General features: G+C 38.2%; 1 protein-coding gene and 1 long non-coding RNA gene across 8 annotated transcripts in view, besides 1 other annotated feature; one reads left to right on the top strand and one right to left on the bottom strand.

Moving 5' to 3' along the window:
• Positions 1-11,508, top strand: part of TSBP1 (testis expressed basic protein 1) — a 79,206-nt gene extending 67,698 nt beyond the window's left edge. For all 5 annotated transcript variants that reach the window (NM_001286475.2, NM_001286474.2, NM_006781.5 and 2 more), the window contains 4 exons: positions 1,577-1,597; positions 3,506-3,526; positions 4,270-4,284; positions 10,171-11,508. In NM_001286475.2, coding sequence (NP_001273404.1) covers positions 1,577-1,597; positions 3,506-3,526; positions 4,270-4,284; positions 10,171-11,225 — 1,112 coding nt within the window. In that variant the 3' untranslated portion in view covers positions 11,226-11,508. The remainder of the gene's footprint in view (positions 1-1,576; positions 1,598-3,505; positions 3,527-4,269; positions 4,285-10,170) is intronic.
• TSBP1-AS1 (TSBP1 and BTNL2 antisense RNA 1) overlaps positions 1-27,662 on the bottom strand; it is a 152,558-nt gene that overhangs the window by 103,525 nt on the left and 21,371 nt on the right. The gene's annotated exons all lie outside the window — the stretch shown is intronic.
• Positions 12,368-12,568: a silencer, noted in NCBI's record as "peak5754 fragment used in MPRA reporter construct". NCBI's record gives its function as "represses an SCP1 promoter by STARR-seq MPRAs in K562 erythroleukemia cells {active_cell/tissue: K562}" and the evidence as "EXISTENCE:reporter gene assay evidence [ECO:0000049][PMID:32103011]".

Below are 27,662 nucleotides of genomic sequence, written 5' to 3'. Positions count from 1 at the left end.
TTCTTTCTTTCTTTTGTTCATTCGCTCGTTCTTTCTTCTTCCTTCCTTTCTTTCTTTCTTCTTCCTGTCTTTGTCTTTTAAATAAGTCAAAGGCCCACAGAAACAAGAAACCACATAGAAAGGACCAAAATCAATTTGTTCTTCTGGTTAGAGAGTTAAGTTGCAAAAGAGAAGCCAGAGGAAATAATGCTGGGAAAATATGCTGGGAAGACTATGGAAATAATACACTAAGAAGTTTGTATCACAGTCTGAAGCCACAGGGTCACAAGATGAAACTCCAAAAGATAAAAGGTAGAAATAATAAAAACTAGAAGATGTAGCAAATGGGAGTAGAAGAAGGGACAGACTGCAAAATGCAAACAGAGAAAACACTAAAATAGAATTCAAGATAAAAAAGAAAGATTGATCTTTGCCTTTTCCTCCATAAAGTTTATTACATCTAAACTTGGACCACTAGTGCTGCAGAGATTAAGCCTTTTCTGACTTCCCCTCCTTGAAAGAATTGGGACTTGCCTCTCATAACAATCAGGCAAATCACAGAAATTTATTTTGTGTAGGTCTAAATACACCAATTTTTTCAAAAGATTACCAGAGTACATTAAAAACATGACCTAACTATATCCTATCTACAAGAAAGTCACCTCAAATTTAACAATAAAAGTAAAAAGAATGAAAAATATATGCCATGAAACATTAATTTTTTCAAAAAAAAAGGCAGATGTGGCTACATTAATATCACGTAAAGTGGACCTAAATGCAAAGAAATTTACCAGGGACAAAAGAGGGACATTATATCATGATAAAAATATCAATGCATCAAGAAGACAAAGAAATTCTACATATGTATGAACCAAACAACAGTGCTTCAAAACACACTGGGAAAAAAAAAAACACGTACTAGAACTGAAGAGAAACAGAAAAACCCACAACTACAGTTGGAAAGTTTAATGCCTCATTCTCAGCAATTGCTATAACTACTAGATGGAACATGAAATAGGTGAGAGAATTAGCCAGGCAATATCTGAGGGGGGAATATTTCAATCAGAGAAGACAACAAGTAAACCACCCTAGGGTAGGAACATTTCCAGACTATTTGAGGAAAAGCAAGATAGCAAGTACCATATAGCTGGAACAGAATGAAAAGTGACATAAAAAGAAGCTATAAGAGAGATTTGGAGGGACAGATCTTCCAGGGCCATCTTTGAAAGCCACTGTTGTGATTTTGACTTTTGTTAAACCAAGATGGGGAACCATTGGTGGCTCTTAAGCAGGAGTCTTGCTGACACTTTAAAAGGGTCCCGCTAACTGCTGTACTGGGAACTGACTGGGAGGCAAGGGTGAAAGCAGAGAGCTCAATTAGAGAGACAACAATAAGTTGGACCACATAAAGGTGGTAAAAACTGTCAGGTTCTTATAACACACTAAGGGATCTGTTGTCTCATCATATTTCATTGTATTCTGCTAGAAGTCTTTATGGTACCCTAGAAAAAACAACTAGGGAATTGGGAGTAGGAAAGAACTGTACTTCTGTTCCAAAAATGCTGCCATTAACCTATTTTCTTGTTTTGATTTTCAGGAATACCTCAAGTTCACACTAGTAAGTTCCTAATATATTTTTATTACATTAGTTTCTTGTAGGGCTGGGGTGAGCAAATTTTTTCTACAAATGTTTTTAATGTTTTATGTTTGTTTTTGTTTGCTGGGTTTTTGTGTTTTTTGGTTTGTTTGGTGTTTTTGGTTTTGTTTTGTTCTGAGACAGGGTCTTGCTCTGTCACCTAGCCTGGAGTGCAGTGGTGTGATCATAGTTCACTACAACCTCCACTCCTGGGCTCAAGCAATTCTCCTGCCTCAGCCTCCTGAGTAGCTGGGACTACAGATGTGTGCCACCATGCTTGGCTAACTTTTTTTTATTTTTTGTAGAAACTGAGTCTTGCTATGTTGCCTAGGCTGGTCTCAAAGTCCTGGCCTCAAACGATCCCCTTGCCTTAGCCTCCTAAAGTGCTGGGATTACAGGTATAAGCCACCATGCCCAGCCAAATATTTTAAATTTTATAAGCCTTAAAGTCTCTGTCACAACTACTCAACCCTGCTGTTGTAGCACAAAAACAGTCATAGACAATATATAAAAGAATGAGCATGGGTATGTCCCAATAAAATACTATTTTAGACATTGAAATTTGAATTTCATACAATTTTCATGTGCCACAAAATATTATTATTATTATTATTATTATTATGATGATGATTTCAACTATTTAAATATGTAAAATCCATTCTTACCTCACAGGACATGCAAAAATAGCATGTCCTAGATGCTATTTTTATTTGGAAAACTAGATTTATATGGAAAAACTAGATTTATTCCATGGGCTGTATTTTGCCAACTCCCATTTTTAAATACCCTAACTCCACATATGTATCTCTGGTAAACAATCCTGGTATATGTTTCTTACAGTTTCATGCTTTCTTATTATTCTGTGCTTTTTTTTTTTTTTTAAAACAGCGTTTCACTCACCCAGGCTAGAGTGCACTGGTGTGATCATGGCCCACTGCAGCCTTGACTTCCTAAGCAATCCTCCCACCTCAGCTTTCTGAGCAGCTGGGACTACAGGTGCTTGCCACCCTACCCAGCTAATTTTTTCTTTTTTTTTTTGCAGAGATGGGGATCTCATTATGTTGCCCAGGCTGGTCTTGAACTCCTAGGCTCAAGCCATCCGCCTGCCTCACAGCCTTCCAAAGTGCTGGGATTACAGGCATGAGCCACGGCGCCAGCCTATTTTGTGCTTTCTATGTTAGGTTTATCAAGTAACATCAACACAAGAGATATACCTATATTTCAGTACTTGGTAACAACTGTATCTTAAATATTTCGTACCAGGCCAGGCATGGTGGCTTACACCTGTAATCCCAGCACTTTGAGAAGCCAAAGCAGGTGGATCGCTGGAGCTCAGGGTTCCAGACCAGCCTGGGCAACGTGATGAAACTCCGTCTCTACAAAAAAATACAAAAATTAGCTGGGTGTGGTAGCACGCACCTGTAGTCCCAGCTACTCAGGAGGCTGAAACTGGAGGATCGCTTGAACCCCGGAAGTGGAAGCTGCAGTGAGCCATGTTCATGCCACTGCACTGCAGCCTGGGAGACTGAGACCCTGTCTCAAAAAAATATATTAAAAAAAAATTCGTATCAATGTCAAAAAATAATGTTAGCACACATCTTCTAAGCAAGACCATTATATGTCCTATATTTTATAAATTGTAATCTTGACATTCTAGACAAAATTGATAATGATCAATGATAAGTAAAGGTGATTTAAAGTAGCTTATCACAAGGTCTTTGTAAACTACACTGGGCAAAGAGAAGGGGGAAGGGAAATGAAGTTTCTTCACATTTAAATAAATGAAATTTAGTTGTTAATGACACAGATCCCACTCAATGCAGAGGTTTGGGGACTGGGAAGAAGGGAATGCCCAGTACCTACTGATGTGTTTGCCTTTATCTCTTTCAGTGGACAGTTCTGGAAAAATCAGTAAGTTTGGATCATTTCCTTGCCTTACCTATTTCTGTGCCTAGGACCTTTAAGTTCTTTTTCCCAAATGTTCTTGTGTTACGAGTTCCTCTACCTTACAGCAGTCAATATTTCTTCAATAAGTGATTTCCTCATATTTCAATTTTAATTCTTCTTATCTATTTTCCTTTTGTAACAAAGTATAATGGTCTTGTGTTTGATTCTAGTTATTTACTACCAAAGATTATTGGTAGCATATATTCCCAGCTAATCTATCACAACAGAGCCTATTTCCTCTGTGCTATAATCTGGCAACTAATAATTTTTACTAAAAAAGAAAATCCTCTAAGATTGACAAAAAGAATATGTGTCAGGACTAGATGTGATTTTGGTAATTGATCAACAATATACATTTTTCAAACGGACCAGAACAGTGAGCAAAAAACTGTTTTGCAGAAGACATATGAAAGACTTATCAAAGAACAAAGAAAGGCAGGAAATACAATAGTTTGAATTTCAGTAGAAGTGATTTTACCTACCCAAGATTTCAAATGCCTATATTAATTAAATGGCATCCTAAAGATAACCCTCTGTGTGGAGTGCGATATGGAGCATTGGCCAGCAACACTCCTGAGGATGAAACAGAGTTTTGTGCTCCCTCCAAGTCCTGTTTCTAAGTTCACCTAGGAAGGATACTATTGGAAGGTGGGTTTCTCTTGAGTTAGAAAATCCTCACTGATCTTTCTTTTGTGTTTTGTTTTTAGCACTGACTCCTGTGGGTAAGTTCCATATCTATTCTCAACTCTGATATTTTACATTGCTTTTAATTCTTTTGTGACCTGTCTGTTTCTACTCCCAAAATAGAGGCCTGTGCTTCTAAGGCCAATTTGAATGTTCCTATCTTCCAGAAACTTCCAAGGTTCCCCCCCGCCCTCCACTTTTCTTTTTGAGACAGGATCTCACTATGTTGCCCAGGTTGGTCTTGAATTCCTGGGCTCAAGTGATCCTCCTGCCTCAGCCTCCCAAAGTGCTGGGATTGCAGGTGTGAGCAACTGTGCCAGGCCCCAAGTTTTTAAATAACTACAATTTAAGAGATTGCTGTAGAGAAGATGAAGCTCATATGAAAGGGTGCCACAATCTCTGGCCATCTTCTAGGCTCTGAAAAAGAATCTCCTCCCTGATTCTCAGGAAAACATAATGAAAGGAAGATTGGTTTCTGAATTCCATTAGTTATTTGCTGGGAATTTAGAACTTTTTTTTAGTTATAGGTGAAGTCCCTCTGAATCATATTAATGGGGGAAAAAAACTAGTTAAAAACAAAATACCATCTCCTTTCTATTGCCTTCTAAATAACTACCTTTGAAAGACAGTAGGTATTGAGCATTGACTATGTATTTGTGCACTGTGCTAGGCACTTACAAAAGTAACATCTCTTATTCTTACCATATGCCTGCCTGGTAGGTATTATTATTCCCCATTTTACAGATTAGGAAACTAACTCAGGTATTTACCCAAGGTTAAAGAGTTGGTAAACATTGGTGTCAGGATTTAAACCCAGGATGTCCTATCTCCAAAATACACACTCTTCCCACTCTTCCCATACTAACACATTGCCTCCTATACTGAATCACAAATGCATTTTTTGTGATTAGTCAGGAAACTTTATGGAATGTTTGCAAATACAAATATACATCTACAGAAAAGCTGGATAACTAAATGTACACAAAAGGATCCTTTTAAAAATAGAAGACCGCATTTAAATCAATGTTTGACTTTTTTAACTGTTTTCTGGATTCAGATTTATCTCTATTGGGATTACTTAATATATGACTCAGCTCTTCAAGCAAGGAAACCATACAAAACAAAGTAGAATAATAACTTTTGTTTAATTCTGTAAACATATGATCAAAAGAAGCAAATAAGACTTAAACCTAGTGAGACACGTTTCAAGCATTTCAAACATTCCAAACACTGACACAAACACAAAATATGTCCTTATATTTAATCGTGTTTAAGCCTCATTCTTCTTTCTCAGTTCACACTAGAAAGAGAGTGGGTTTGGAGGGAAAGGAAGGCAGGGAGATGAAGTTGAAAGGGGCAATTAATTAATTTTTTTTTTTTTGGACAAAGTTTCGTTCTTGTCGCCCAAGCTGGAGTGCAATGGCACAATCTTGCCTCACTGCAACCTCTGCCTCACGGGTTCAAGTGATTCTCCTGCCTCAGCCTCCCAAGTAGCTGGGATTACAGGCATGTGCCACCATGCCCAGCTAATTTTGTATTTTTAATAGAGACAGGGTTTCACTATGTTGGTCAGGCTGGTCTCGAACTCCTGACCTCAGGTGATCTGCCCACTTCAGCATCCCAAAGTGCTGGGATTACAGGCGTGAGCCACTGCACCCAGCCGGGGAAATTAATTTCTTTTGATTCATGGTACAAGAAACAGTATGCATTCAGAAAAATTATAATGCGCCAACATCCCTCAAATGCTCTCCTCACATAGAAAAAGTGATAGGACTGTGATCTTGTGAGTTTCTCTTACAAAAAAAAAAGGTGGGCTCTGATGATTGATGTTGTATGTCAACTTGACTCAGAAGAACCCTGACTAATACAAGGGCTCTGAGAAGGGATCACAGGCCAAGTCTCTTCCCAGAGGTAATAAATTTTTAATGAATACTAATTTTTTAAGTTGCCAGAGAAAAATCTGTTTAATCTTTTAAAAAATTTTTTGTAAAAGACATATTCTTATTGATATACTCTTTCAAACACATTTTTCCCAATTGATTGTTTTTCTATTTTTTTTAAAAAATAGAGATGGGGTCTCACTATGTTGCCCAGGCTGGCCTCGAACTCCTGGCCTCAAGCGATCCTCCCATCTCAGCCTCCCAAAGTGCTAGGATTACAGGTGTGAGCCACTGCATCGGCCCCAGTTGATATTTTTAGAAAAAGGAGGTTAAGGTTTAAGTCAATGTTCAAAGAAAGGTTTAAGATAGATTAAACCAACAAACATCATCATCCCAGCAAACTGAGTCTCTTATTTCTCACCTCCTCATTCAACTAATAAGTATATGATCTTTTAAAATGTAATTCATAGCCTGAGAACTATAATGATTTATCCCTCTGATACTGAATAGATCTTTTACAGTCTAGATCCAATTGTGCTCTCCCTGACAACCACTGGATTAAGAACCTAAGATTAGTTTCCTAATAAAGCCCACATTCTATTTTCTATGTTAAGTATCATTTAGATAGAATTGTTAATGTGATAGCTATTTCATGATATCTTTTAGCTTTAACAAAAATTAATCCAATTTAAAAATTTTAATAATTACTTTTTATTCAGCTTGAATATATTATGATGATCCCCAAAGTCTTGATTAAATCTTTTGATTGTATTAAAATTTTGTAGTATGGGCTACTGCCTGCAATAAATGTACTTGCAGCCAGGGCTTCCAAGTCTTTATATTATGAAGATTTACACTGTATGTGTTAGATGATTATGAGGTCCAAGAGAAGGAAAAGATGTATGAACTATCTTGAAATCTGGGAGAAGGAAGAAAAGAACTTAGAATGTGGTGGAATAATGATTTGTGGCTTACTTCTGCAATGCAAAGTTGAAATAAAAGTGAACCTCACTTTATGGGATAGCTAGATTACTCAAAAATAAATCCTGTAAATCTAATCTATGTTAATTAAATTCAAGATTTAAAAGATGACAGCAAATATATTAAAATAAGGGTATGAAGATTCTATTAGAAGTAACTAGAGGTATTTTTCAGTGTAGTGGGAGAAAGAATAAAAAGTTTTTTAATTCTGTGAAATTAGGAAAGGTGTAGCTAGAATAAACACTGGGTGCTTCAGGAAATCCTATAATACTTAATTTTGGTTTACAAAGCCTATATAATTTAGAAGGTAAATTTAGGTTAAAATGAGTCATGAAGTATTACACACAGTAGCAAATAATTACCCCCAAGGGATAGTAAAACTAAAAATATTCATAGCTTAAGGAAAATCAGCTTATGTGAGGAGTACATTCCATGAAATTCTTAAGGTTAGAAACTTCAGCGGAGCATGATCTTACCATTCCACACCACCATACCCCTAAACAAAACAAAACAAAACAGTGTCCACTGGTAGCACTGTCGAAGATCAAAATATTCTGAACTATTTTTCTCAATTTAGCAATGCTTGAAATATATTACCACTGATTTTCATTAGGAAACTGAAAATTGATTGTCTAGAATAAAATGTCAGTAACCATATTTTAATGAAGAACTCTAGGTGGGGACATATACAAAAAGGTTCAGAAAACATTACTGTAATTTTCCTAATGTTATTTTTATTTGGATGTCAACAGCTGAAAATAATAAAAGAAAACACTGAACTACAACAACTCTTTTGATTTATAATTAGTTTCTTATCTAATACAGGTGTGCCTCATTTTTATAATTGATAAAATTCTGAAGTTATGTGTATGCCAATTTTTCAAACATCAAACCCTAAATGTAAAAAACGAAAAGTCCAATAATTCACTTTTAAGCAAGAAATTTTCCTGTAATTGGCTGGGTGTGGTGGCTCACGCCTGTAATCCCAGCACTTTGGGAGGCCGAGGCAGGTGGATCACCTGAGGTCAGGAGTTCAAGACCAGCCTGACCAACATGGAGAAACCCCATCTCTACTAAAAATACAAAATTAGCCGGGTGTGGTGGCACATGCCTGTAATCCCAGCTACTTGGGAGGCTGAGGCAGGAGAATCCCTTGAACTCGGGAGGCAAAGGTTGCGGTGAGCCGAGATCGTGCCATTGCACTCCAGCCTGGGCAACAAGAGCGAAACTCCATCTCAAAAAAAAAAAAAAAAAAAGAAATTTTCCTGTAATACAATTAACCACTCCTGTAAATTATTTGTTGGAAACTAAGAATGCCTTGTCTTGATTGAATTAGAGAGTTTTTTCCTGTACTATCTCATTGGGAAGTAGTAATGGCCAATATTTATTGACTACTTATGTCCCATGCACTGTACCAAGTGCTTTTATTTAGATAACATTATTTAATCTCATAACACCTCTTTGAGGTAGCTACTACTATTGCCCCCATTTTACAGACAGAAAGTAAAGTTTGCCAAAGGTCACCCAGCTAGGCAGGTGCGGAGGCAGGATTTGAACCAGTCTGTCTCCAAAGGCTATGTTACTTTAACATTTGTCTACAATATTTAGTAACTCTACAAAGTGAGCAGATCAAACTAAATATAAAAACAGTGAATCTTTGAGGATTAACTGATTTACCTTAATAAACCCATTAAACCCAGCTAGCAGGAATAATAAACCTAGGTCTTCTTTTTTTTTTTTTTTTTTTTTGTGTGTGTGTGTGTGAGATGGAGTATCACTCTGTCACCTAGACTGGAGTGCAGTGGTGCAATCCCAGCCCACTGCAACCCCTGCCTCCCGGGTTCAAGCGATTCTCCTGCCTCAGCCTCATGAGTAGCTGGGGTTACAGGTGTGTGCCACCATGCCTGGCTAATTTTTGTATTTTTAGTAGAGATCAGGTTTCACCATGTTGGCCAGGCTGGTCTCCAACTCCCAACCTCAAGTGATCCGCCCACTTTGGCCTCCCAAGGTGCTGGGATTACAAGTGTGAGCCACTGCCCCCAGCCCAAGTCTTCTGATTCAGCTTTTATATTCAGTATTCTTTCTACTATAGTAAATATTAAATATTAGATTTTCTCAAAGCAAGACATCCCTCTGCTCCACGGCAAGAACCCACACAATTCCTTGGTGGCTCAGATATTTCTTTTACTTAATTCAGGGAACCATATTACTTAAAAAAAACAAAAGCAAATAAAAAATACCTAGCAGAAGCCAATAAATTCAGGTTTGTTAAATCACACAGGAATTGAGACGTAACAGCTGATTTACCTGAACATGATCAAAGGACCTGAAATTTTTGCAGAGTTTGCAGATATTGCAAGAAGTAGTCTACAGTAATGATCAAAACTGAACACTGGAGTCTGACTACTCAGATTCAAATCCCAGCTCCACCACCTACTGATTACATAACCTTATTCATATTCATTTAAGTATTCTGTGCCTCAGTTTCTTCATCTGTAAAATGAGGTTAATAATACCCTACCTGGTTGTTGTGAGTATCAAATGATTTAATACATAAAGTGCTTAGAGCAGTGAGTACTTGGTATGTGGTAAGCACTTAATAATTATCAGCTAGTACTGTTATTACTTTTGCATAATAAGATATGCTTTTATTCAATATGGAAAGCATTTTTGAGTTTCCTTTTTCTGTCTTGAGAAATATAATTATTGCTTCCTCCCACAATTTTTCCTTAAAACAAATTCTATTTCTTTTCAGAATACATCCTCTGTTAGCCACTAAGCATTATTCATTAGCCATAATCCACTGAACAAATGTCAGTTCATTTACAGTACATTTTACCTTTTCTCTCATTAATCTTCCAAATTATTGAAAATAGTCCAGAATTTTATCGATACTTTTATAATTTTATGTACAGAGAACCATCATTTTAGATAACTTGAGATTCAGAAAAATTTTAGTTTGTCAGTTTTAAGACAAAAAAGGAACCAGTATCAAGGGGAAAAAAATAGAAATAAAGAGAAAATACTTGATATCTAAATCACGCCCTTTTGTTGTATGCTCAGTTATATTAACAGGTTACATGGATGAAGAACTTGCAAAAAAATCTTGTTCCAAAATCCAGATTCTAAAATGTGGAGGCACTGCAAGGTCTCAGAATAGCCGAGAAGAAAACAAGGAAGCACTAAAGAATGACATCATATTTACGAATTCTGTAGAATCCTTGAAATCAGCACACATAAAGGAGCCAGAAAGAGAAGGAAAAGGCACTGATTTAGAGAAAGACAAAATAGGAATGGAGGTCAAGGTAGACAGTGACGCTGGAATACCAAAAAGACAGGAAACCCAACTAAAAATCAGTGAGATGAGTATACCACAAGGACAGGGAGCCCAAATAAAGAAAAGTGTGTCAGATGTACCAAGAGGACAGGAGTCCCAAGTAAAGAAGAGTGAGTCAGGTGTCCCAAAAGGACAAGAAGCCCAAGTAACGAAGAGTGGGTTGGTTGTACTGAAAGGACAGGAAGCCCAGGTAGAGAAGAGTGAGATGGGTGTGCCAAGAAGACAGGAATCCCAAGTAAAGAAGAGTCAGTCTGGTGTCTCAAAGGGACAGGAAGCCCAGGTAAAGAAGAGGGAGTCAGTTGTACTGAAAGGACAGGAAGCCCAGGTAGAGAAGAGTGAGTTGAAGGTACCAAAAGGACAAGAAGGCCAAGTAGAGAAGACTGAGGCAGATGTGCCAAAGGAACAAGAGGTCCAAGAAAAGAAGAGTGAGGCAGGTGTACTGAAAGGACCAGAATCCCAAGTAAAGAACACTGAGGTGAGTGTACCAGAAACACTGGAATCCCAAGTAAAGAAGAGTGAGTCAGGTGTACTAAAAGGACAGGAAGCCCAAGAAAAGAAGGAGAGTTTTGAGGATAAAGGAAATAATGATAAAGAAAAGGAGAGAGATGCAGAGAAAGATCCAAATAAAAAAGAAAAAGGTGACAAAAACACAAAAGGTGACAAAGGAAAGGACAAAGTTAAAGGAAAGAGAGAATCAGAAATCAATGGTGAAAAATCAAAAGGCTCGAAAAGGGCGAAGGCAAATACAGGAAGGAAGTACAACAAAAAAGTGGAAGAGTAAGGATAAATTTTTTAAAGGCCCATAAGACAAGTGATTATTATGATTCCCATACTCCAGATACAAACCATATCCCAGCCATTGCCTAAACAGATTACAATTATAAAATCCCTTTCATCTTCATATCACAGTTTCTGCTCTTCAGAAGTTTCACCCTTTTTAATCTCTCAGCCACAAACCTCAGTTTCCAAATATTTGTTTTATAAGTTAAGACGTATATGATTCCGTCAAGAAAGACTGGATACTTTCTGAAGTAAAACATTTTAATTAAAGAAATATATAGTAATTTCCTTTGACAAGTATGTCTATGATAGCCTTTCCAACCAATCAACCAGTAACTCCTCATGGCAAGCCTAATGTTTGCAAGGCACTGGTCTAGCAATAAGGGGTGTACAGAAAAACACAAGTCAAAGCTCCTGCAATCAAGTAGCTTATAACATATATAGTGATATATGTATACATGGCAATTTTTTAAGTAAAATCTAAGTTACAAAAAGTTTAGATGGACAACATAATCCATCATGGGATGAGAAAGTAGAGGTGGTAACTTCATGGGGAAGGGAGTAGTGGTATACAATATGTCACAGCAGATGGATAAGGTGTTGATATGCTGAGTGAATTACAAAGAGTAAAAGAAAGGTAAAGGGTTAAAGGCTGTCGTGCCATGCTCCAGGTGCAGTAGGCAATTTTGCTGTTACGGAAGATTCATGGGAGGCATCCTGGGGTATAATTTTGAAAAGGAGAATATAAAAGGATTTGAAAAACAAGCCAGGAATTTATATTTTACTCTTCAGGCAGCTGGAAGCATTCTACAATGTTTGAGACACAGAGTGAAATGAATAAGGTTGTATCATTTTAAAAATAAGGTTGTATCATGTGATTGTGAAAAATAAGATAGAAAAAGAAACATCATAGATAGTAAATCTAATTAAGAAGTACTTGGAGTAAGTAATGGAAAGAGAATAAATAGGAAAAAAATCAAAGAAGAATCATTACTTCATGATGACTGACTGCATAGGAGTAAGGAAAAGTGAAAAAAACAATGGTTTCAAAACTTTTGAAACTAGGTAACAAACAAACTAGGAACTAATTTGGGGGACAGGGAGGGAACAACAAATTGTTTTAAGGGGATAAGCAATAACATTTGTCATTCAAGAGATATCTGGAATTAGATGAGTACAGGTAACAATTGAAGCAATAAGAGTGAGTTCTTCAAAGGAGGAAGTACAGGACCAACGAAAGCAGAAGTCCAAGGACTGAGTTTGTTATATGTAATATATTGAAGAAATTTAACTAAGGGATAGGAAGATAGAAGGAAAACCTGTATAGTGGAATGTTCCAATAATTAAGGAAGATGAGAGTTTTGAGAAAAAAATGACTGAGACTTCAAGGAAAATAAGGACTGAAAGAACACTGTAGTTGCTATTTGGAGCTGACTAATGAACTTCTAAAGAGCACTTTCCAAAGAAAGGAAGCTAGGAGAAGGAAGGTAAGCAGGAAGAATATAGAGATACAAGTAAGTAGTTGTGGGATGTGCCTTTCAAACATCCAACAGAGTTAACTTATTTTAGTCTATTTTAAAATAATCATTTTTAGAAATTTTATTTTTATACTGTTCAATACTGTGCTGGTTAGCCCACACCCTGAATATACATTTAGTTCAATCATGGGATGTGGATAAACTAAATGCCTTCAGGAGAGAAAGACTCAAGTGTGCAGGAAGTTGCAGAATTCCCCTGGGAAGACAAATATGAGGAAACAATGAGAATTACTTTCAAATAGTGAAAGTTCATAAGGGATTAGAATATTTTGTATAGCCCCAAAGAAATGAGATCAGTGAATGGAAGGTACAAAGTAACAAATTTTATCTTAGTAATAAGGAGAAGTGGAGGTCCAAAGAGTTTAAGCAAGAGTTTAAGGCTCATTCAGTGAGAATGCCATAGAGGAGACTCAGGAAACAGCTGAGTAATTGGAATAAGTTATCTTTATGGTCCCTTCCAAATAGACTTCCTGAGAGTCTATAATTCTAGTTATCAAATTCTTTGGACTAACTAGATGTCTTCCAAGGAAGCTTTTCATACTGATATGCTATTCTTTGGAGGCGTTTGATGAAAAAAGGAGAGAAACCAGACATTAGTCTCTGCCCAAAGTATAAAATGTTTCATAAATGTTTCAGGCTACCCAATCACAACCTTAAAAGAGTATCTCCATAACTTCTAGCACAATCTAATCCACTGTATGGCTGTCTACTGTGTTCTCACAGCCCTGCCGCAGGTATGGAAGCCTATGTTAATTTTAGAAGTCACAGAATCCTCAGGTCTTTGATGAGCTGCACAGGTTTAGCAAAACTGAGTTGCCAGAGAGAGAGAGAGTGAGAGAGAAGAAGACAGATATTAAACATGGATTTTAATATTGTAAGTTGCTTTTGTCATCTGTGGAAAATACACATTTAGAGATTTTACCAGCCTTTGTTGGCATGTCTTTTACATACATTATGCTGTTATCAGGGAACATTTTTGACCAGAAAGATTTTCACATAGTTAAAAGTATTAGATTTTCATCATTCTCATGTCATTTTTCCTATAGCCCCTCTGGTCCATGTGACAGCTAACTAGTAGGTTGTTTGTTTGCTTGTTTGTTTTTCCTCACTCTTCACCCAGGCTGGAGTGCAGTGGCATGATCTTGGCTCACTGCAACCTCCTCCTCCTGGGTTCAAGCGATTCTCATGCCTCAGCCTCCTAAGTAGCTGGGATTACAGGAGTGCACCACCAAGCCCAGCTAATTAGTGTATTTTTAGTAGAGATGGGGTTTCACCATGTTGTCCAGGCTGGTCTCAAACTCCTGACCTCAGGTGATCCACCGCCTCAGCCTCCCAAAGTGCTGGGATTACAGGCGTGAGCCACTGTGCCCAGCCACTACTAGGTTTTAGAAGGGTATGACTAATTCAACTTCTCTCAGATTTCTGGTAAGAAGCAGGGACCTTGTCAAGGCAATTACTAAAAAACAGTAGATAGGCTTCAGCAACCCAGCTCAGCTGACTCCATATCTGTGTGTATGTCCCACTGAAGCAAGAATTCAGAAGAGATAGATCTATAGAAACCTCCCTGTATCTTCTCCATAACTTCTAACTTGGGGTCAAAACATTTGCACTCCCACTAGGTCTTTGAAGGCAAGTAAATCATACAATAGAATACCCCAACTATAAAAATTCTGTGGACCATTTTCTAAAGGCCACTGAAAAACTGACAAATTTAAAGCAATTGTTAACCCTCCTGTAAAGATACACATGTGGAAATCTTAAAGGACCCCAAACAAACAAGGGAGAAAGGACAAGCTATCAAAATGACACCATGTTTAACAAAATGATGAAAATTTTAAGAAAATACATAAATATATACTTCTAAGATAGTGGCAATATAAAAGTAGGAATGTGAAACTTACCTTAAGAAATCAATAGTAAATTTTGTTTTGCAAATAAACTAATACAAATGTCAAATGTCCTGTTCACAAGAATGGAATAGAAGTCAATTCAATTAGTCATTTTTCATTTAGGAGCAGAACATAGGAAAGAAAAGCAGAAAGGTGAGTTTAGAGATAATGAAGCTGAATGAGAAACACAAAATATTAGGAAACAAACAATTTATGTAAAATCAGTTAATGCGGCTCCTATCCCAATTAAAGACTCCCTGAGTTAGTAGTGCATTAAAAATGCAATTTCCTGGCTGGGTGTGGGGCTCATGTCTGTAATTCCAGCACTTTGGGAGGCCGAGGAGGGTAGATCATGAGATCAGAAGTTCAAGACCAGCCTGGCCAACATGGGGAAACCCGTCTCTACTAAAAATACAAAAATTAGCCAGGCGTGGTGGTGCACACCTGTAGTCCCAGCTACTCAGGAGGCTGAGGCAGGAGAATTGCTTGAACCCGGGAGGCAGAGGTTACAGTGAGCCGAGATCGTGCCACTGCACTCCAGCCTGGGCGACAGAGTGAGACTCTGTCTCAAAAAATAAAAATAAAAAAATGCAATTTCCCATTTTCCCCTAAATATCTCTCACCCTAGGTTATAACTGACATATCAAGGAAGTGAATACAGGGAACCGAGAAAGGGGACAAGATATAGAAGGAAAAAACAGGATCCAAAGGAATAAAAGAATAAGCTGAAAAATTGATCAAAATATTCAGTTTTATATTTGATGAGATTCCTTTACTCTCCCCCTTAAAAACAATCAGGAATAGGAAAAAAACAACTAGTGTTCCTACACTCTACTTGAGAAGTTCCAATTGTGGTTTTGAAGAAATACAAGCCTGTAATCTTAGTGTTTCAGGAATAAAGACACTCTTATCTATCATCATCCAGAAGCTTGAGCACTTGCCAAGACCGGGAAGTCAAACCTGAGATGCCACACTACAGATTATACACGTTGTAAGCTAGGTCTCAATAAATTTTCTATTCAAATCTTTATTAAGTTTCTCTCTTCAAAAATTAAAAACTCACAGTGTTAAGTTTCTATGAATCTCTCCACATCTTAATCCATGTTTATATAAAAATATATGCAAATATGAGTATATGTAGGAATTTTTTTCTAAAAATAGGGTCAAACTATATACATAATTCTGCAACTTGTCTTCTTCGCCTAACAATACATCATGGGCAACACATCAATCTAACATTTTAATAGCACAGCATCCAGTAGTGTGAATGAATTACTGCTTATTCAACCATTTCCTTAAAGATAGACATTTAGCTTGTTTCCAACCTTTTGCCTTTGGCTAAATGATTCTGCCATTGCCAAATGATACTGCAATACACATCTCTATATATGATCAGGATTTTATTTCTCTAGGATAGATTTCCAGAAGTAGAACTGCCAGATCAAAAGAAATGTGTATTTTAATGTTAATAGATATTACCTAATTCCTTTTCCCCAAATTTGTAATAATTCATATTCCTACAGGAAGATATGAGAGTCCTATCTTCCCCATACTTGCACTGGTGCTGGAAGCGGTAGCTATTTTTAATCTTTGTCTATTGAGAAAAGTGGTATCTAACTGTTTCTTTAATTGTATTTTCCTGACTACTAGTGAGACTGAACATTTTTTCATAAGTTTAATCGTATTTTGAATTTTCTCTCCTGTGATTTAATTGCTTTTCAAACTGGTGGTTTGCCCTTTGTCTTACTCAGTTTTATGTGTTTTTGCATATTAAGTTTTTATCTGCCATTTGTGTTGAAAATGTTTTCCCAATCTACTCATTCTTTCTCTACATCCAATTCATCAACCTGTACCCTAAAATTATATCTTGAATCTGATTACTACTCATCTCCTTCATCAAGAAGTCCAAACCATCGCCATACCTCACCTGCATTGCTGTGCCTGCTTCCAAACTGAGCTTCCCAATCCCACTCCCCACTCCCAACGGAATCGTGCTTTCAAAATATAAATCAGATGAAGTCACTTCTCTACTCAAAACTCTCCAAAGACCAACCCCCATCAGCGTAAAAATTGCAAAGTTGTTTTTTTGTTCCTTGTTTGTTAGTTTGAGATAGGGTCTCGAGCTGTTGCCCAGGCTGGAGTGCACTGGCATGATCACAGCTCACTGCAACCTCAACCTCCCAGGCTCAAGCAATCCTTCCATTTGGCCTCCTGAGTAGTTGGGACTACAAATGCACGCCACCATGCCCAACTAATTTTTTATTTTTTAGGTTTGCTAGAGATGAGGTCTTATGTTGCCCAGGCTGGTCTCAAACTCCTGGGCTCAAGCAAACCTCCCGCCTCAGCCTCCCAAAGTGCTGGGATTAGGCTGAGCCACCAGGCCCAGCTTCATGAAAGTTCTTATCCTGGCCTTGAAGGCCTTACAGTATCTAGCTTCTGGCTTCTCCTCTAGCCTCATCACCCACTCTCCATCTCCCTTCCATTGATGCAGCCACACTGGCCTCCTCATTTCTCCTCATGCCTGCCAAGCATGTTCTTGCTTCAGAATCAGCCTGAACACTCCCCCTCAAACATATGCACTACTCAATTATTTTAAGAAATATGCTTAAATTTGACTACCCTAAGTAAAACAGTACCCCCCATTCTCTATCTCTTTGCCCTGATGTATCTTTATTACTAGCATTTATCACCTGACATCATATATTTATTTTTGTTTATTGACTTTCTGCCCCACAAGAATGTAAACTCTAAGGGACTTTGTTCACTGCTGAATCTCCATGCTTAGAAAAGTGCCTCGCACATAGTAGATGCTCATCAAAGATTTGTTAACTGACATGAAGTAGATTAAATGAAGGTACATTTTACTATACAAAAATATATTTCATCTAGTCAAATATGTCTGCCTTATCCTCGGAAACTTCTGGGCTTTCTAAAGGGTCTCTTTGGAATGCATATACATGATTAATGAGAATGTAAGTTAGTTCAGCCACTGTGGAAAGCAGTTTGGATATTTCTCAAATAACTAAAAGAACTACCATTTGGCCCAGCAATCCCATTACATATATATATATAACACTCAAAGAAAAATTATTCTACCAAAAAGACACGTGCGTTCATATGTTCATCGCAGTGCTATTCACAATAGCAAAGACACGGAATCAACTTAGGTGCCCATCAGTAGTGGACTGGATAAAGAAATGTGGTACATATATACCATGGAATACTACCCAGCCATTAACAAGAATGAAATGTCCTTTGCAGCCACACAGATGCAGCTGGAGGCCATTATCCTATGCTAATTAACACAGAAACAAAACCAAATACAGCTTGTTCTCACAAGTGGGAGCTAAACATTGGGTACACATGAACATAAAGATGGGAACAATAGATACTGGAGACAAGAAGAGAGGGGAAGAAGAGAGGAGGATGAGGGTTGAAAATCTACCTGTTGGCTACTATGCTCACTACCTGAGTGACAGGATCATTCATATTCCAAACCTCAGCATTATACAATACTCACAGGTAACAAACCTCCACATGTACTTGCTGAATCTAAAATAAAGTTGAAAAAATAAAATAAAATAAATAAATAAATAAATAAATAAATGGTCTCCTTGACTACTATGGTACACATATTTATAGTCACTTAATTTTTTTCTCTTTTATAATTTTTATTTTCTATTTCTCTTCAATTAAATATTTAATCCATTTTGTTTATGGTGTGAACAGAGGTTTCACTTTTTTTCCTTCTTGACAGATATCAAATTATATCAGTAGCATTTGTAGAATCAATTATTCTTTTTCCCCTAAATCATGCATTCTCAACAGGGGCCACATTGCCCTCCAAGGGTCAAAAACGAGTTCTGGGTGGATCAAGAAATCCAATGATTTATTGCGATTTATTCTTTTCAGGTATAAATCACAGATGTTCAGTATCCTAAGACTTTGCTGAAGTTGCTTATCAGCTTATGTATAAAGTACATAAGCAGATATATAGACAATAAAATACACAAGCAGATATACAGTATATTGGTAATATTACAATTTTGTAAAGTGAGGCAATTAGGATAAAAACGTCATATCATACTGCTTTGATTATACAGGGTATATAGAAAGTTTGAGTATCTATTAAGCATGTCTCATTCTGCTCTTTGTTCTTTGTTTTCTTGGCTCTTTTGGAATATGTTCCACCACATGAACTTTAATTTTACCTGACTCCCCTCTAAAAAAATAGCATTCTGGCTGAAAATGAGTTAACTATTTGGAGATATTTGACATTATTGTTATTACTGAAGTCACTTCACCCAGAAATGTTGTATGAGTCTTCATTGGTTTAGGTCTTCATATTGGTGCTTTCACAAGACTTTACAATTGGTGCTTTCTGAAAAGTTTACAGACTTCTTCATATTAGTTCTTGTTATATTTACTCCTAGGTACCTATAATGTTTTGTTGTCATTGTAAGTGTGATTTTTACATTTTTTTAATTAATTTTAACAAGTGTAGAGAAAAGTAATCTTTGTATTTATCTTGATTAATGTGACATCAGACTCTCATATCATTACTAATAATTTTCTGGCCATTTCTTGGATTTCTTAGTATACTGTGTAAAGAGATACAATTTTGCTTCATACAATTTACATTTATGCATTTTTAGTATTTGTTCTGTGTGTATAGAATCCAGCTTTTTCCAGGAGAATAATTTCTTTTATTAATTTTAATGATATTCTTTCTTTCTTTTTGTATTATTATACTTTAAGTTCTGGGATACATGTACAGAACGTGCAGGTTTGTTACATAAGTATTCACGTGCCATGGTGGTTTGCTGCACCCATCAATTTGTCATCTAGGTTTTAAGCCCCACCTGCATTAGGTATTTGTCCTAATGCTCTCCCTCCTCTTGCCCCTCACACCCTGACAGGCCCTGGTGTGAGATATCCCCGTCCCCGTGTCCATGTGTTGTCATTGTTCAACTCCCACTTATGAGCAAGAACATGCAGTGTTTAGTTTTCTGTTCCTGTGTTAGTTTGCTGAGAATGATGGTTTATAGCTTCATCCATGTTCCTGCAAAGAACATGAACTCATTCTTTTTTATGACTGCATAGTATATATGTGCCACATTTTCTTTATCCAGTCTATCATTGATGGGCATTTGGGTTGGTTCCAAGTCTTTGCTATTGTAAATAGTGCTGCAGTAAACATACGTGTGCATGTGTCTTTATAGTAGAATGATTTATAATCCTTTGGGGATATACCCAGTAATGGGATTGCTGGGTCAAATGGTATTTCTGGTTCTAGATCCTTGAGGAATCACCACACTGTCTTCCACAATGGTTGAACTAATTTACACTCCCATCAACAGTGTAAAAGTGTTCCTATTTCTCCACAGCCTCTCCAGCATCTGTTGTTTCCTGACTTTTTAATGATTGCCATTCTAACTGGCATAAGATGGAATCTCATTGTGGATTTGATTTGCATTTCTCTAAGGACCAGTGATAATGAGCTTTTTTCATATGTTTCTTGGCCACATAAATGTCTTCTTTTGAGAAGTGTCTGTTCATATCCTTTGCCCACTTTTTGATGAGGTTGTTTTGTTTTCTTGTAAATTTGTTAAGTTCCCTGTAGGTTCTGGATATTAGACCTTCCTCAGATGGATAGATTGCAAAAATTTTCTCCCATTCTGTAGGCTGCCTGTTCACTCTGATGACAAGTTTCTTTTGCTGCGCAGAAGCTCTTTGGTTTAATTAGATCCCATTTGTCAATTTTGGCTTTTGTTGCCATTGCTTTTGGTGTTTTAGTCATGAAATCTTTTTTGCCCATGCCTATGTCCTGAATGGTATTGCCTAGGTTTTTTTCTAGAGTTTTTACGGTTTTAGGTTTTCTGTTTAAGTCTTTATTCAGGTAATTTTGTATAAGGTGTAAGGAAGGGGTCCAGTTTCAGTTTTCTGCATATGGCTAGCCAGTTTTCCCAACACCATTTATTAATTAGGGAATCCTTTCCCCATTGCTTGTGTGTGTCAGGTTTGTCAAAGATCAGATGGTTGTAGACATGTGGTGTTATTTCTGAAGCCTCTCTTCTGTTCTATTGGTCTATATATCAGTTTTGGTACCAGTCCCATGTTCTTTTAGTTACTGTAGCCTTATAGTATAGTTTGAAGTCAGGTAGCATGATGCCTCCAGCTTTGTTCTTTTTGCTTAGGATTGTCTTGGCTATATGGGCCCTTTTTTTGGTTCCATATGAAATTTGAAGTCGTTTTTTCTAATTCTGTGAAGAAAGTCAATGGTAGCCTGATGGGAATAGCATTGAATCTATAAATTACTTTGGGCCATATGGCCATTTTCACAATATTGATTCTTCCTATCCACGAGCATGGAATGTTTTTCCACTTGTTTGTGTCCTCTCTTATTTCCTTGAGCAGTGGTGTGTAGTTCTCCTTGAAAAGGTCCTTCACATCCCTTGTAAGTTGTATTTCTAGGTGTTTTATTCTCTTTGTAGCAATTGTGAGCTCACTCATGATTTGGCTCTCTTTGTCTATTATTGGTATATAGAATGCTTGTGATTTTTGCACATTAATTTTGTATCCTGAGACTTTGCTGAAGTTGCTTATCAGCTTAAGAAGTTTTGGGGCTGAGACGATGGAGTTTTCTAAATATACAATCATGTCATCTGCAGACAGAGACAATTTGACTTCCTCTCTTCCTATTTGAATACTCTTTATTGCTTTCTCTTGCTTGATTGCCCCGGCCAGATTTTCCAACACTATGTTGAACAGGAGTGGTGAGAGAGGGCATCTTTGTCTCGTGCTAGTTTTCAAATGGAATGCTTCCAGCTTTTGCTCATTCAGTATATTAGCTATGGGTTTGTCACGAATAGCTCTTATTAGTTTGAGATATGTTTCATCAATACCTAGTTTATTGAGTGTTTTTAGCATGAAGGGGTATCAAATTTAATCGAAGGCCTTTTCTGTATCTATTGAGATAATCATGTGGGTTTTGTCATTGGTTCTGTTCATGTGATGGATTATGTTTATTGATTTGCGTATGTTGAACCAGCCTTGCATCCCAGGGATGAAGTCGACTTGATCATGGTGGATAAGCTTTTTGATGTGCTGCTGGATTCAGTTTGCATGTATTTTACTAAGGATTTTTGCATCAATCTTCTTCAGAGATATTGGCCTGAAACTTTCTTTTTTTGTTGTGTCTCTGTTAGGTTTTGGTATCAGGATGACGCTGGCCTCATAAAATGAGTTAGGGAGGAGTCCCTCTTTTTTTATTGTTTGGAATAGTTTCAGAAGGAATGGTACCAGCTCCTCTTTGTACCTCTGGTAGAATTCGCCTGTGAATCCATCTGCTCCTGGGCTTTTTTGGGGGGTAGTAGGCTATTAATTATTGCCTCAATTTCAGAACTTGTTACTGGTCTATTCAGGGATTCAACTTCTTCCAGGTTTAGTCTTGGGAGAGTGTATGTGTCCAGGAATTATTATTATTGTGTGGGAGTCTAAGTCTCTTTATAGGTCTCTAGGAACTTGCTTTATGAATCTGGGTGCTCCCGTATTGGGTGCATATATATTTAGGATAGTTAGCTGTTCTTGTTATATTGATCCCTTTACCATTATGTGATGCCCTTCTTTGTCTTTTTGATCTTTGTTTGTTTAAAGTCTGTTTTATCAGAGACTAAGATTGCAACCCCTGCTTTTTTTTTTCTTTCCATTTGCTTGTTAAATATTCCTCCATCCCTTTATTTTGAACCTATGTGTATCTTTGCACATGAGATGGGTCTCCTGAATACAGCACACTGATGGGTCTTGACTATTTATCCAATTTGCCAGTCTGTGTCTTTTAACTGGGGCATTTAGCCCATTTACATTTAAGGTTAATATTGTTATGTGTGAATTTGATCCTGTCCTCCTGGTGCTAGTTGGTTATTTTGCATATTAGTTGGTGCAGTTTCTTCATAGTGTCGTTGGTCTTTATATTTTGGTGTGTTTTTGCAGTGGCTGGTACTGGTTTTTCCTTTCCATATTTAGTGCTTCCTTCAGGAGCTCTTTTAAGGTAGGCCTGGTGGTGACAAAATCCCTCAGCACTTGCTTGTCTGTAAAGGATTTTATTTCTCCTTCCCTTATGAAGCTTAGTGTGGCTGGATATGAAATTCTGAGTTGAAAATTATTTTCTTTAAGAATACTGAGTATTGGCCCCCACTCTTTTCTGGCTTATAGGGTTTCTGCAGAGAGAGCCAATGTTAGTCTAGTGGGCTTCCCTTTATAGGTAACCTGACCTTTCTCTCTGGCTGCCCTTAACATTTTCTCCTTCATTTCAACCTTGGAGAATCTGAAGATTTTGTGTCTTGGGGTTGCTCTTCTCGAGGAATATCTTTGTGGTGTTCTCTATATTTCCTGAATTTGAATGCTGGCCTGTCTTGCTAAGCTGGGGAAGTTTTCCTGGATAACATCCTGAAGCTTGTTTTCCAACTTGGTTCCATTCTTCCTGTCACTTTCAGGTACACCGATCAATCGTAGGTTTGGTCTTTCCACATAGTCCCATATTTCTTGGAGGCTTTGTTCATTCCTTTTCATTTTTTTTCTCTAATCTTGTCTTCACACTTTATTTCATTAAATTGATCTTCAATTTCTGATATCCTTTCTTCCACTTGATCAATTTGGCTATTGATACTTGTGTACACTTCACGAAGTTCTTGTGCTGTGTTTTTTCACCTCCATTAGGTCATTTATGTTCTTCTCTAAACTAGTTATTCTAGTTAGCAGTTCCTGTAACCTTTTATCAAGGTTCTTAGTTTCCTTGCATTGGGTTTGAACATGCTCCTTTAGCTCAGAGGAGTTTGTTATTACCCACTTTCTGAAGCCTACTTCTGTCAGTTCGTCAAACTCATTCTCTGTCCAGTTTTGTGCTCTTGCTGGAGAGGCATTGCAATCATTTGAAGGAGAAGAGGCATTCTGGTTTTTGGAATTTTCGGCATTTTTGCACTGGTTTTTCCTCATCTTTGTGGATTTATCTACTTTTCATCTTTGATGTTGATGACCTTGGATGTGGTTTTTGTGTGGGCATCCTTTTTTTTGTTGATGTTGATGTTATTGCCTTTTTTTTTTTTTTTTTTTTTTTGAGACAAAGTCTCGCTCTGTTGCCCAACCTGGAGTGCAGCGGCGTGATCTCGGCTCACTGCAACCTCCACCTTCCAGGTTCGAGTGATTCTCCCACCTCAGCCTCCCAAGTAGCTGGGACTACAAGTGCGCGCCACCATGCCCAGCTACTTTTTGTATTTTTAGTAGAAACAGGGTTTCACCATATTGGCTAGGCTGGTCTCAAACTCCTGACCTTGTGATTTGCCTGCCTCAGCTTCCCAAAGTTCTGGGAATAAACCACCATGCCCAGCTGATGTTATTGCTTTCTGTTTTTTGGTTTTCCTTCTAACAGTCAGGACCCTCTTCTGCAGGCCTGCTGGAGTTTACTGGAGGTCCACTATACACCCTATTTGCCCGGGTATCACCAGTGGAGCCTGCAGAACAGCAAAGATTGCTGCCTGTTCCTTCCTCTGGAAGCTTCATCTCAGAGGGCACCAGTCTGATGCCAGCCAGAGCTCTCCTGTATGAGGTGTCTGTCAACCACTGATGGGAGGTGTCTTCCAGTTAGGAGGCATGGGGGTCAGGGACCCACTTGAGGAGGCAGTCTGTCCCTTAGCAGAGCTCAAGCACTGTGCTGGGAGATCTGCTGTTCTCTTCAGAGCTGGCAGGCAGGAATGTTTAAGTCTGCTGAAGCTGCTCCCACAGCCGCCCCTTCCCCCAGGTGCTCTGTCCCAGGAAGATGGGAGTTTTACATATAAGCCCCTGACTGGGGCTGCCTTTCTTTCAAAGATGCCCTGCCCATTGAGGAGGAATCTAGAGAGGCAGTCTGGCCACAGCTGCTTTGCTGCACTGCAGTGAATTCTGCAAAGTCCGAACTTCCCAGTGGCTTCCTTAACACTGTGAGGGGAAAACCACCCACACAAGCCTCAGTAATGGCGGGCGCCCCTCCCCACATCAACCTGGATTGTCCCAGGTCGACTTCAGACTGCTATGCTGGCAGTGAGAATTTCAAGCCAGTGGTTATTAGCTTGCTGGGCGCTGGGGGAGTGGGACCCACTGAGCGAGACCACTTGGCTCCCTGGCTTCAGCCCCCTTTCCAGGGGAGTGAATGGTTCTGTCTTGCTGGGGTTCCAGGTGCCACAGGCCTATGAAAAAAAAAATTGCAGCTAGCTCGGTGTCTGCCCAAACAGCCACCCAGTTTTGTGCTTGAAACCCAGCACCCTAGTGGTGTAGGCACACAAGGGAATCTCCTGGTCTGTGGGTTGCAAAAACCATGGGAAAAGCATAGTATCTGGTCCAGATAGCACAGTCCCTGGTCCGGATAGCACAGTCCCTCATGGCTCCCCTTGGCTAGAGGAGGGAGGTCCCCAGCTCCTTGCACTTCCCAGGTGAACCAACAACCCACCCCACTTCTGCTCACCCTCCATGAGCTGCACCTACTTTCTAACCAGTCCCAATGAGATGAACTGGGTACCTCAGTTGGAAATGCAGAAATCACCCGCCTTCTGCATTGGTCTCACTGGGAGCTGCAGACCAGAGCTGTTCCTATTCAGCCATCTTTCCCAGGAACTTCCAGTATTCTTTATTTCAAATAGTAATTTCTGATTTAAATTCTATTTTAAATAATAGCTTTTTGGTTAATATTTTCCTCTGCTTTGTCTTTCTCTATTATTTTACTTTTCAGATTCCAATAAGTCTTGTGAATAGAAAATAACTGGATCCTTTTTCCCTGTCTTAGAGTATAGATCTTTTAAGGGGCAAGTTTAAACCATTTGTATTTATGATGATTACTGATTTACTCAGTTTTGTTTATGACACCTTACCAAGTGCTTTCCATATTGCATAATTTTACAGTACTATTCCACTGTCTTTGCTATTGTTGTCTGATATTTTCATTCTGCTACATTTATGCACCCCAAAATTAGTCATGATAAAATTATTTTTATAGTCTGTGTTTTTCAGATATATTCATATATTTACCAATATTGCTCACTATTTCTCTTTGTATCTTAATCCTTGCTTTGTGGTTTGATTTTTTTGTTTTTTGGTTTTTAGTTTTTTTGTGTGAGACAGGCTCTCTCATTCTGTCACCCAAGATAGGGCGCAGTAGTGCAATCTCAGCTCACTGCAACCTCCACCTCCCGAGTTCAAGCGATTCTCCCACCTCAGCCTCCCGAGTATCTGGGACTACAGATATGTGCCACCATACCCAGCTAATTTTTCTATTTTTAATAGAAACAGGGTTTCACCATGTTGGCCAGGCTGGTCTCGAACTCCTGACCTCAAGTGATCTGCCTGCCTTGGCCTCCCAAAGTGTTGAGATTACCAGTGTGAGCCATCGCACCCCGCCTGTGGTTTCATTTTTAAATGAGGATCTGTGAATAATAAATTCTTGGACTTTTGCCAGAAAAATTAACTTCGCCTTCATTGTAAAATAACAGTTTTGCTGAATAAGGAACTCAATGTATTTTCTCAGCTAATTGAAGATGTTATCCATTGCCTTTTGGCCTTTGTTTTTGCTCTTAAGAAGTCTGCTTAATACCTAGTTAGTTTGCAGGTTATTTTGTCTTTTTCTGTCTGGTAATATTTAGAATTTTGTCTTTGTCTTGGTGTTACACAGTTTCACTACTATGTGTCCAGTCCATTTTCATTATTCCTGCTTTAGGAGGGTGCATCTTAAAACTTTACAGTAATGTCTTTCATCAATTTTGAAAAATTCTTAAGCATTCTTTCTTTGAACTTTGCTTTTCCTCCATGCTTTCTATATTCTCTTTCTGGAATTCAAATGTATTTTGGATCTTCTCATTCTAGTCTCTATTTCTGTTAACCTTGTTTTTATGTATTTTTAAGTCTGTCTGCAATGCAGTATAGACAACTTCCTCAAGTTTACCTTCCAATTCACTGATTTTCTTTTCAGTGTCTAATGTCCTGATTAGCCTATTGAGTTTTAGCCAATTACTAATATTTACTGTTTCTAAAATTACGATTTGCTTCTCCTAATATTTGTTCATAGTCTCATCTATGTGTATGTGTTATTATCACCCAAAGTTCATAGTTTAAGATTTATATTTTCAGGTATCTTTATAGCAATGCCCCACTTCCCAGTACCAATTTTCTGTGTTAGTCCGTTCTCACATTGCTATAAAGAAATGCCTGAAACTGGGTAATTTATAAAGAAAAGAGGTTTAATTGGCTCACAGTTCTGCAGGCTGTACATGTTCTGGGGAGGCCTCAGGAAACTTACAATCATGATGGAATGTGAAGGGGAATCAGGCAATATCTTACATGGCTGGAGCAGGAGGAAGAGAGAGAAGGGGGAGGTGCTGCACACTTTTAAACAACCAGATCTCGTGAGAACTCAGTATCATAAGAATGGCAAAGGGGAACTCCACCCCCTTGATCCAATCACCTCCCACCAGGCCCCTCCTCCGACATTGGGGATTAAAATTTGACATAAGATTTGGGCAGGGACACAAATCCAAACCATATCAGGGCCTATGCCCATAAAATCAGCAGGAAGCAGTTACAGAAGATGGACCTCCACCCTTCTTCAGCCCCCTTAAGATTAAGGAGGAGTATCTAATATCTGAGGGGGGAATGAGGTAGGAGACTGGCAGGACTTATTTCCTAGTACTGACAGGATAAGTGAAAAAAACAGCAGAAACTAGCAGATGGTAACAAAAGCAATCCCTAGTTGCCCCCACTACTCATTAGTATAAGACACCAGCACCATGACGGTTTTCAAATGCCATGGTAAGGACCCAGAAGTTATTGCCCCTTCCCATGACAATGACCGAGAAGTTACCACCCCTTTCCTAGAAAGCTTTAAATAAACTACTCCTCAATTTGCATTAACCCACCACTGATTGGCATATGATTGAAAGTGGGTATAAGTGGGTATAGAGTTGCCAACAGTCCATTCATTGCCAACTTGGC

The sequence above is a fragment of the Homo sapiens genome, chromosome 6, assembly GCF_000001405.40.
Source record: "Homo sapiens chromosome 6, GRCh38.p14 Primary Assembly".
Lineage (NCBI taxonomy): Eukaryota > Metazoa > Chordata > Mammalia > Primates > Hominidae > Homo > Homo sapiens.
Note: the sequence above shows the minus strand (reverse complement) of the source record. Positions and strands in the feature narration are given on the sequence as shown.